General features: G+C 38.4%; 1 protein-coding gene across 31 annotated transcripts in view; it reads right to left on the bottom strand.

Moving 5' to 3' along the window:
* TENM3 (teneurin transmembrane protein 3) overlaps positions 1 to 12,468 on the bottom strand; it is a 1,355,412-nt gene that overhangs the window by 125,160 nt on the left and 1,217,784 nt on the right. For all 31 annotated transcript variants that reach the window (XM_017008385.2, XM_017008389.2, XM_017008390.2 and 28 more), the window contains one exon: positions 4,646 to 4,860. In XM_017008385.2, the coding sequence (XP_016863874.1) occupies positions 4,646 to 4,860 (215 nt within the window). The remainder of the gene's footprint in view (positions 1 to 4,645; positions 4,861 to 12,468) is intronic.

Here is a 12,468-nt window from a genome sequence, read left to right as displayed (position 1 = left end):
ATTTTACTGACCATAGACCTCTACTGTTAATATTGGAGAGAACTTAGAGTATCTAATTCAGTTTCTGACTTACTAAAATTTTTATTTATAAGTAAAACCTTTTTTTGTTCTTTTGTGTAGTTTCATCAGAACAGAATTCAGCTGTGAGAAATATATAAAAACAGTATAACCTGATCAGCAGTCAAAAATGTTTATTTTCATTTATACCTTATAAGGATGAAAATACTGACTGGTGTGGATACATGACCTATAAAATTTGACTGGAATTCTATTCTAGAATTGTCAGAGGAAAATTAATTCAGCAGTTTTGAATGGTGACTCTGTCTCAAATAAGCCATTCATTTCCTCATCAGGTTTAAATATTTACACATTTGCATGGCAAAGAGACAAGAAAAAGTTTCTTTTTATGACCGAAGCATATAAACATTTTTCTTCCCTAACATTAAACACGGTAACTGAAAAAGTGAACGGGAGGAATTTTGAGTTTTAGCTGGTCTTTCAAGGCAAAAGCACAACCATCACCTTTATCATAGAAATAACCATTCGCATCACACTGTGAACAATAAAATAAGGCCAGGGTAGTGGGCATGATGGTGGGGAGGAGGAGCTGACAGGTTTTGAGTATCTACCCAGTTCTAGGCTCATCTGCAGAAGTGTTTCGCACATGAATTCAGGAGGGCGATTCAAATACCTAAAAAAAGTTCCCTACTTTAACACTAAAACCATCTTTGCCCAAAATTACCAAATTACAAGGAATAAAAATACTTAATAATCTTTGTTCTTAGGGCATAAAGTGGTCACTTAAGGGCAAATGTGAGTTTTGCTTTGTAATATTTCTAAGATGGAGATGCAGATATATTTTTGGGGAGAAGAGGAGTCTTAGGACCTTATGCTCTTTTTAGGAAGAAATTCTTGGGGCTAACTCTTCAATTGCACTAGTCCGCGGGAGCCATCGTGAGACAAAGCTTATACTTGATACAGGTTTCATATAAAGTGAGATAATTTTAGTGTGAAAGCTCCGTTTAAAGGTCATTTTCTTACGATTTAATATTACCAAATATACACGCTTTAAAAATCCTCATTTAAAGTTGCTTTAAACTACAATGTATTAATAAGCCGTCTTTTGGAAAATCAATAGAAGAAAAGTTTGCCCATGTTTGTTGTATTTATGCTGATTATCTAATAGACCATTTAAAAACAAATAGATTTTGTTTCAGTTATCTTGGTAGTTCACTTCTGAAGTTAGATTATATGTTTAATTCAATTCCGTTACTAAAACGATGAGTTCTTAGAATCTATGAATACTTAACTGTGTCCTTACATCAACTCTTTGGTAGTGGCACAGTCTTGCTGTAATTGGAATATAGAGACTAAAGAGATTTTACAGATCATCTGATCCAACTCTTTCATTTTACCAATGGACACTAAGGCTCAGAGAAGGGACTCTGCAAGGTCACACAGTGAAAAGGTGGTGAGGGTATGCTAGAACTCAGGCTTCCAACTCCTATTCGACAACAGCCTTCATGTGAATGCACTAAAATGCTACAGTATACTTCACCATAAGGCTCTGCATTGACTCCTGAGGCCACTAACTGACCAGGAGAATGAACTGGCATCAGGGAGAAGAGAGCCCACTGATTCCTTGGCAACAATCAAACGGGCAGTTTTACAAAGGGTCACAAAGACTGCGAAAGCTCAAGCAACTATTCTGAATGGCTGGCCAATTTTAATTATTTCAGGTTGATTTATTTAATGTTCTCCAGAAACAGAGAAATGTTCAATTTGGGCTGCCTTATACAATATTTCATGTTTAAACACTGAACTCAGAAACAGTTGTTTGCTCTGCTGATCTTGAATAAACCACAGGAAGAAACTATAATAACCGTGAAGCTTAAGAAAATGCATAACCTACTTAAACACATATATTGTGGTAGAAAAGAAAAGAGGATATCACATGTATTGTGTTTAAATACTAGAAGGATTATGAGAAAACCCGAAACTGCACCTTTCATTTCTCTAATCTTAAATGTTATATACAACTTGCAGTCAACTAAATCTTTAAATAAACCTTTCAAGTACACAACACAATAGACAATTCTTACCTGAAATTATTTTCTAGAATTTGTAAGTTACATGTTTACTATTGTGCTCAGCTTAGAGGTATATTTCTTGAATTATACACAAATAATCACATATGCGGTTTCAGTGGGAAAATATTTTTTCATATTTCACTGGACAATTGCTATAAATCCAATCTGTCTACTATAATTGAAGTTATAGAGGACTTCCACTTAAGAAAATCTGCTTTTTTTTTTTTTCTCCTAGACAGAGTTTTGCTCCTGTCGTCCAGGCTGGAGTGCAATGTCACGATCTCTCACTTACTGCAATCTTTGCCTCCAGGGTTCAAGCAATTCTCCTGCCTCAGCCTCCTGAGTAGCTGGGATTACAGGTGTGCGCTACCACGTTCGGCTAATTTTGTATTTTTAGTAGAGATGGGGTTTCACCATGTTGGTCAGGCCGGTCTTGAACTCCTGACCTTAAGTGATCCACCCACCTTGGCCTCCTGGTGCTGGGATTACAGGCCTAAGTCACTGTGCCTAGCCTTAAGAAAATCTGGTTATTATATCCTAGTCAGTGTCACCTATAAGATGAACTGGAGTCAAATCTAAACTTTAAAATGGTCTAGACTGGCTGGGTGCGGTGGCTCACGCCTGTAATCCCAGCACTTTGGGAGGCCGAGGAGGGCAGATCACCTGAGGTTGGGAGTTCGGGACCAGCCTGACCAACATGGAGAAAACCTATGTCTACTAAAAATACAAAATTAGCTGGGCATAGTGGTGCACGCCTGTAATCCCAGCTACTCAGGAGGCTGAGGCTGGAGAATCACTTGAACCCGGGAGGCGGAGGTTGTGGCGAGCCGAGATCATGCCATCGCACTCCAGCCTGGGCAACAAGAGCAAAACTCCATCTCAAACAATAAAATAAAATAAAATAGCCCAGACGCGGTGGCTCATGCCTGTAATCCCAGTCCTTTGGGAAGGTGGGCGGATTGCTTGAGCCCAGGAGTTCAAGAGCAGCCTGGGCAACATGGTGAAACCACATCTCTACAAAAAATACAAAAATTAGCCGGGGGCGGTGACACGCATCTGTAGTCCCAGCTACCCAGGAGGCTGGGGTGGAAGGATCACCTGAGCCGAGGAGGTTGAGGCTACAGTGAGGTAAGATTGTGCCATTGCACTCCAGCCTGGAAGACGGAGTGAGACCCTGTCTCAAACAAAAAACAAAACAAACAAAAACCAAAACCCCAACAAACAAACAAAAATATAAAATTTAAAATTGGGCATTAGTACATTATAAGAAGTATACAATGCATAAGGATCAAATTTACTTTAATAATATAGATATTAAAAATATTAAATAGGAAAAATGAATACACTAAAGCCTGATATTCAGAAATTTCACAGCCATAAAATTAATATATGTATATGAACTAAATCCACAATTACATTAGAAAAAGCATGTTGAAATCTTCTTACTCATCTTCCTTTAAAGATATAATTTCTTTATTAATATGTGATAACTTTTCTTCATAATTTATGTTCCTAGGTTATAGAAAAAATATTTCTCACAAAATTATATGATATAAAGCATACATGAAAACTCTCCAGCCCTTATTTTATAAGTCACACTAAATCAGCATGAAATTCTCTAGGTAAATAAACTGATTATTGAATATAACTTTAGGCTCATCCTACTGTCAATTTTAATGAATCAACTCTTACATTTTTGATATTCCTCTATGTACTAACGTAATAGTTGATCTTGGGGAAAGTCTCAGTTCCAATTTTATGGTAGGTAATTTAAATAACTTCTCTTAGAGATGATGAAACCTATATTAAGCGACAATTTCCAGTTTACATACTATGACCCGGTACTGTATTAGATTATGAAAAAGGCTGTGGAATTGCCAGCAGTTCTCCATCTGTGATTGCTGTTGTGAGGGGATTTTTATGCAAGGGAAACGACTTTAAAGTTCTTTGATATTAAGGATATGTGAATTGTCTTGTGTACCACACTGACATGATCATACTTGGTTATCTCTGAAAGCTCTCTTGCCTCTTCATCTCAGCGTTGATCATTTTAGATGAGGCACGGCGCCTGAGTTGATAAAGCTCATGTCATCATATTTATGTTGATGTTCCCATCATTTCTCTACTAAGAGGAAATCTGGCATAAACTAAAAAAATACATTTTCAACAGAATGAATACGTGTTAGAGATGAATATGTTATGCATCTATTACATGAAAGGAATAAGATCATCGGAAATTATCATAGAATCTTTGTAAAACACTTGGAAAATCCATGGTGTTTTACTGGGTGCTCAGATGATGCTCAATATTCATTAAGTTCCTCACAAAATTCAGTACATTTTAAACAGTCAAATCAGGAAGAAAATATTGTTCTTCCCACTACTGATTCAAAAACCTCAGAACAAGTAATCTACATTCAAAACTCTTTCTACTGTAGAAAGTCGATTCAAAAGTCGTCAAACAGTTAACCAAACAGCTGAGCTTAAGAAAGAGAATAATTTCAAAAAATGCAACTGGCAGTTTTTATTTTATTGATAAGAAAGCCTAGTCTTACCTGAGTATGGGAAGGCGGTAAGCCTTTCCGGCCATATACTCCAATCAATGCATCCTTCTGAAGAGAGATATTGAATTTAAGAAACTGTGGCTGATCAATGAAGAGCTGTGATCTCCAGAAGATCCCGGGAGGAATCTCTTGAATTGCTCTTCGGCCAATATCAAGTTCTCCGGAATCTATGGTGTTATTTTCTTGCGTAAATCCACCTAATTTTCCTGAATGTAAGAGATGCACTGATGAAGAACAAATTTTTTTTAAAAAAACAAAACAAAAAAGGTTTTTAAACTTTTTGAAAAAGTTATTTTTACCAAATGCTCAAGCCATTTCATCTTCTGATATATTACTTTCATAAAATTTGCACTTTAAAAGCTTCTACTATTAGATACTGGTGTTTTACTAATTCTGATTTAGCTCGTAAGATATTTAAGTTAAAATCCTTTTGACTTCCCCCAAGGTATGCCCATTACTAAAGCTGTTTTCACACCTACAGTCTTTCTGTTCACTTGAAACATAATTATCTTACAAATTATGAGTCTTGTTATTTCTTGGGAGAGATTAGGGTCTGGTACTTATCAGTCATTCTAAACATACTATAACACTGCAAAGTGTAAATTAAGGCAGAATGGATTATGGAGATTTCTAAATCAATCCTTAAGCAAACAATAAAACCAACTGATGGCTCGGATTCATGTGGTTCTATCTAAATGATATACTAGGATGAATGAAAAACATCAGATGTTGGCAGAGAGATAGAGAAGGGGTACTTGGGGCATTGTGAGGGGAAAGGAAGGAGGGGTAAGCTTAAGTGCTCACATAGCTTTTGTGTAGGCTGTTATAACTTTTCCTCTTTCTTTTGAGCCTCATTTCAAACTCACTTGTAGTCTTAGTGGACATACTGTGTTACTTCTGACCACACTGATCTTTGATGCATAGGAACAAAACCTCTTTTCTCCCTGGATCTCTGCCACCTGTTAAGAGACACCATCTCTTCTCTTCCTGCATGGCCTCCTTCTAGAAAACAGATCCAAGACTCCTCTTTTTGGTACGATGTTCCTCTTTTCCCTCTTTGCCAAGGTTCTTTCTCAGTTATTCTGATGGGGGTCATGGTAGAATTTCTGCAATTTGCCGTGAGTGGAAATATAACTACATTGTCTCTTATGCAGACGGGTCCAGAAGGCTGAGGAACAGAATGGAACTGGGCAAATTATCTTCTATCAATTCAGCCCTTTTACACTGATAACAACAAGAGGGTGAGGAGTGAGGATCACTTGAGCGCAGGAGTTAAAGTCCAGCCTGGGCAACACAGTGAGACCTCGTCTCTTAAAAAAAAACTGATAACAAAGTTGACTTACTACCAACTTTGTCTTTTTTAAAAAAAATATTAAACTGTTAATTCAAAACGCAGAGGAAGTGATTTTAAGTCTGAGCTGTAAGCTATCTCATCTCAGTGATAAGGGAGACAGGCTTCTAACTATCTGTGAAGAGTTATTAGTTTAACTCTGAGTTCATTTTTACTGAGTGTCTGCTAGCGGCAGCACTGTAGGTGACTTAAAAAAAGAAATATAAACCAAAGAGTAGAATCTTAGAGATTATCTAGACTTCCATAGCTTCTGCTATCAAGTAGTAATTACCTGGGTGGGGAGACAACACCCACAAACTGATAAATTAAGTGAGACCCTAAAGCAACATATGAGTAGGGGTCAGAGAAAGGCACTATCACTGCAGGCTGGAGGTTGAGAGATTTCACAGGAGTTAAGTTTGGTGGTAAACATTGAGGAACAGGTAGGATAAGGTTTCTGAGCTGGGATAAACATCGCTATCACAAGCATGGCCGTGGAACTTGACAGGTGTTAGGTTGAGGCTCAGCAGAGAAATCCATCTGGCCAGAAAACAAGATAAAGAAAACCCGTTTTGGAGTCAGACAAACCTGGGTTTGAATCCTGGCTCTGCCAACAATTAGCTGTGTGACCTTAAGGAAGATACTAAACCTCATTTAGAAAATGGGGAGAGTAACATAATGATTGCACCGTTACAAGGATTCCATGAGGTTTGGTGCATCAAGGGCAAGCTGCAGCGTCTGGCTCTCAGGAGGTACTGAATGGGTTTGTCGTGGGAGGGATGCGGGATAAGGTTGGGAAGGGACGTGGCATCTGTCTGTGGAGGGCCTTGAATACCAGGTTAAAGAATATGGTCTTTATACTTTATGCTAGTGATTTCTTGTATTTTCACTCTATCAAGAGTGTTATTACACCCTTTTCCCTGAAGATGTATATATTTACTAGTATTCTGTTACTGTGCATGTCATTTATGGTATGTTTTTCAAACAGATACTTGAAGACTGATTATGGGTAAATTGCATTTCGATGCCTCAAACACACTTATTCTTGTGTGGTGGTGGGGTGTGTGTATATAATCAAGAGAAACAGAATTGAAGATTACTACGGAACATGACCTGCAATCACAGACCCAGTTTATGGCCTATAGGATCTGAAGCAATTCACAAAAAATTCACACTTACAGATAAATGTGAGGTTTGAGGGAGAGTACATCACTAGCAAATGTTAGAATTGCTTTCCATCTGGACTACTGCATCCTACATGACACACGTACCATCAGTTGTGAAGGACAGCTATAACTAAATGGAGACCCATTAAAGGTTCTGAGCGGGCTAGAGGTGAAATGAAATCACTGTTTCAAGAGCATTACTGTGCAGTAACTGTGGGAAGCCTGGACATGAAGAGATGAGTGAGGACACAGCTGCAATAACCCAGGTATGAGGCAGAAGAGGGTTGTACTAGAAAACTCAATAAAAAGGCATTATTTATAATCTCCCTTCCTCTCTTCTTTCCCAGTGTTCACAATCATGGTAGCTATCAGGTCTATTTTTCTTGAACCAATTCAGTAATATAAAAGGATCTAAGGAATAAAATTTCCAAATTGAGTTATAGTAATCACTATAATTTTTCCACACATCAACTCTTAGATTATAAACTGTAGATCATTCATAGGATTCAAAGTATTTATTTTACAATAGTAATACTTGTTCATTTCAGCAAAATTAGAACATACAGTTAAATAAAGAGAGAAAAAATATGTATAATGCTACCACCCAGAGATTATTTTGCTTTCTAGCTAAACAGACGTCTTGCTTTACTCAGAAATTTTTAATTATCTGAGACCAATTTCTACTTTTCATTTAGGAAGCTTCTGCAAAGGAACCTACATTTGTCATGAAGGAGCTTTTACTGAGAAGATTCAGGGGAGAGAGAAATGGAACTAATCTTCACTGAGAACCTACAATATGACAGGTAGTTTCACCCAAGAGGTTGGTATCATTTTGAGATGAGGAAACTAAGGCTCAGAGAAGTAAATGATGTGGCCAAAGTCAGTGATGGCATCAAGACTGAAATCAAGGTCTGCAGAATTCCAAAACCATCTGTTGTATATAATCCTCAATAAAATCTTTGCTTTTTATTAAAACAAAAATATTATTTTAAATTACTAAGTTTTAAATTTGTCTATTTCATATAAAATCAGATATATTAAGTCACTGAACCACCCTAGAGAATATACTTACAATGTCAGGACATAAAGTTTATACTTATTTTTATAAGTTTTATATTGATAAAACTTAAAAAACTGACATGGAAGGCCGGGTGTGGTGGCTCACGCCTGTAATCCTAGCAATTTGGGAGGCTGAGGAGGGCGGATCACGAGGTCAGGAGATTGAGACCATCCTGGATAACACAGTGAAACCCCGTCTCTACTAAGAATACAAAAAAATTAGCCCGGTGTGGTGGCGGGCGCCTGTAGTCCCAGCTACTCGGGAGGCTGAGGCAGGAGAATGGCGTGAACCTGGGAGGCGGAGCTTGCAGTGAGCCGAGATCGCGCCACTGCACTCCAGCCTGGGCAACAGAGTGAGACTCCATCTCACAAAAACAAAAACAAAAAAAACGTGACATGGATATTATAATATAATACTCTTTATGTTATAATTCATAAGTTCCTCATAAGTTTTTGTCTTTTGGTTGACTTCTACATGAAACTAATTTTAAAGTACTGAGTAGAGTAGCTGTTCTCTTCCCCTCTAAGATGTCAGTATACATATCATATTTTAATATGAACATAGTTTATATGTAGACTCATTCATCAAGTTCATACATTTCTAAGGCTATGATACTTGATTGTCATTAACAAGTTTCATCTACTATCCGAAGCATATGTAATTTAATCTACTCTCTTGGGTTGACCCTATTGCTGCTATTAATGGTTTTCTGAGTTTTAATAGCATACCTGTGCTTTGAGAACTGGTAAACATAAATTCATAAACTGGTGCCAATTTCAGAATTTTTTTCCAAAACATTATGTTTACCCAAGAGGATTAGCTGTGGTAATGGTAACCAAGTTCTGATTTCTAGGGTTTCCGGTTTCACTATGTCAAAGGCATTTAATAAGCTAGGTATTCTTGCCTTGTTTCTTTCTCCACAAATTAATTTTGAGGGGTTAAAATCTTTCTCACAGAAATGATATGTGAATACATCGTTGTGTCGCGAAGTATATCTATTTATCCTGTTAGTCCCATATATAGGTAATTTAACCAGTGGTTCTTTTCCAGAAAAAGAGGGTTCTTCATTTGTAAAACAAAAGATCCAAGATTGGTGGAGTGTGCTTGAATGGGATAGCAATTGTGATGATTTTTTTCCTCCCGTAACGAAAAAATACCTAATTAATCATAACACCACAGAATCTTCGAGTTCTAGTACCCGTGGGGGTCATCTAGTCCAGGGGTCTTTAAAAAAGGGTAGCCATATCCCTAGGAAACATTAAAACTTTTCAATAAGGAACGGGGTAGGAGATTAATTTCTATTAATAGACCCTCAATAACATTCATGTGTTGACTTTCTTTACAAAAGAAAGGCGTACCTCTCACATACCCAAATATTACTATGACTTATTGTCTTGGAGCATAAAACTTCCAGTATGCCAAAAAAAGGCAAAATTAAAAGTATTGTGGTGGTGAAGCCTCTTTTATTGAAGACACCATAAACCCAAGGTAGGGCTTCAGCGACTTTCCCTGCTTAACATAGTTCCATTAAGGGCAAAATGTGGGGTTAACAATGGGGTATTTAGGACTACTAGCATGCTTTGAAGTCAAATACATCAAGAAAGAGAGATAACCTTTTTAATGAACTTATCACTCACCCCAACTACTGTCAAAGAATGCTTTTCTTTTTAATTAATTAATTAATTAATTAATGTATTTATGTATTTATTATACTTTAAGTTCTAGGGTACACGTGCAAAACGTGCAGGTTTGTTACATATGTATACATGCGCCATATTGGTGTGCTGCACCCATTAACTCATCATTTACATTAGGTATATCTCCTAATGCTATCCCTCCCCACTCCCCCCACCCCATGATAGGCCCCGGTGTGTGACCCCGGTGTGTGATGTTCCCCTTCCTGTGTCCAAGTGTTCTACAAAGAATGCTTTTCAACTGCAGAAGAATTTCATGACTACCAAGAACACAGCAATAAGGTAAGAAACATGAAATGTAATGATGCTTTATTTATTCCCGTTGTCAAGGTTAGGACAAGGATTTGTGCTTTATCTTGCTACCTCTCTACCTAGAGCAGGGATTCAGAACTGAGAGGTTCTAACAAAATGTAGATTAATTTATTCGAACTGAAAAAATAAGTCAGACTTTTTCTGACAAAAGGTAAATTTGGGCCAGGTGTGGTGGCTCACACCTGTAATCCCAGCACTTTGGGAGACTGAGGCAGGTGGATCACAAGGTCAGGAGTTCGAGACCAGCCCGGCCAAGATGGTGAAATCCTGTCTCTACTAAAAATACAAAAATTAGCTGGGTGTGGTGGCGGGCGCCTGTAATCCCAGCTACTTGGGAGGCTGAGGCAGGAGAATCACTTGAACCTGGGAGGTGGAGGTTACAATGAGCCGAGATCACACCACTGCACTCTAGCCTGGGCAACAGAGCAAGACTCCATCTCAAAACAAAACAAAACAAAACAAAACAAAACAAAAAAATGGTAACTTTGATTTCAATGAGTACTGGCTCTGACAGTTAAATTATATGGTGGCTATTTCCCATAAATTAAATGAGCTAATGAAATAGACACATTTAAAGCATATACAGGCATACCTATTGCACATTTTGTTCCAGACCACCACAATAAAGCAGATATCACAATAAAGTGAGGTACACACATTTTTTGGTTTACCAGTGCATATAAAAGTTATGTTTACACTATACTGCAGTCTACTAAGTGTGCAATAGCATTATTTCCTTTTTTTTTTGAGACAGGGTCTCAAAAGCTGTCACCCAGGCTGGAGTGCAGTGGCCCAATCTCGGCTCACTGCAGCCTCAATCTCCCTGGGCTCAGGTGATCCTCCTACCTCAGCTTCCCAAGTGCCTGGGACTACAGGTGCACACCACCGAGTCTGGCTAATTTTTTGGTATTTTTTGTAGAGACAGGGTTTCAACATGTCGTCTAGGCTGGTCTAAAACTCTTGGACTCAAGCGATCCACCAGCCTCGGCCACCCAAAGTGCTGGGATTGCAGGCATGAGCCACTGTGCCCAGCCAATAGGTTTCTACAAACCAACGTACAAACTTAATTTAAAAAATTTTATTGCTAAAAAATGCTACCGATCATCTGATCAAGTCATCATCTTTTTGCTGGTGGAGGATCTTACCTCAGTGTAGGCGGCAGCTGATTGATCAAGGTGGTGGTTGCTGAAGGTTGGAGTGTCTGTGGCAATTTCTTAAAATAAGACAATAATTAAGTTTGCCACATTGATTGACTCTTTTCATGAAAGGTTTCTCTGAAGGATGGGATGCTATTTGATATCTTTTTACCCACAGTAGAACATCTTTCAGAATCGGAGTCAACCCTCTCAAACCTTGCCACTGCTTTATCTACTAAGTTTATGATAGTCTAAATCCTTTGTTGTTATTTCAACAATGTTCATAGCTTCTTCATCAGGAGTAAATTCCATCTCAAATACCCACTTTCTTTGCTCATCCATAAGAACAACTCCTCGTCCATTAAAGTTTCATGATGAGATTGCAGCAATTGTCACATCTTCAGGCTCTACTTCTAATTCTAGTTTTCTTGCTATTTCCACCAGATCTGCAGTTACTTCCGCCATTGAAGTGTGAACCCTCAAAGTCATCTATGAATGTTGGAATTAAGTTCCAAACTCTTGCTAATGTTAGTCTTTTGACCTCTTCCCATGAATCATAAATGTTCTTAATAGCATCTAGAATGCTAAATCCTTTCCAGAAGGTGTTATTTTTTTTTGAGACAGAGTCTCTGTCTGTCGCCCAGGCTGGAGTGCAGTGGCGCCATCTTGGCTCACTGCAACCTCCGCCTCCCGGGTTCATGCCATTCTCCTGCCTCAGCCTCCTGAGTAGCTGGGACTACAGGTGCCCGCCACCATGTCCGGCTAAATTTTTTGTATTTTTTGTAGAGACGGGGTTTCACCCTGTTAACCAGGATGGTCTCGATCTCCTGACCTCGTGATCCGCCCGCCTCAGCCTCCCAATGTGCTGGGATTACAGGTGTGAGCCACCGTGCCCAGCCTCCAGGAGGTTTTTAATTGATTTTGCCCAGATCTATCACAGGAAAATCACTATCTATCTATGATAGCCTTACAAAATGTACTTCTTAAATACGACTTGAAAGTTGAAATTAAATTAAATATGACTTGAAATTACTCCTTGATCCATGGGCTGCAGAGTGGATGTTGTGTTTGCAGGCATGAAAACATTAACCTCCTCGCACATCTCCATCAGAGCTC

Source organism: Homo sapiens, chromosome 4, assembly GCF_000001405.40.
Source record: "Homo sapiens chromosome 4, GRCh38.p14 Primary Assembly".
In the NCBI taxonomy this organism is placed as follows: Eukaryota; Metazoa; Chordata; class Mammalia; order Primates; family Hominidae; genus Homo; species Homo sapiens.
The sequence above is the reverse complement of the archived record's forward strand: the minus strand, read 5'-3'. Positions and strand labels throughout refer to the sequence as shown.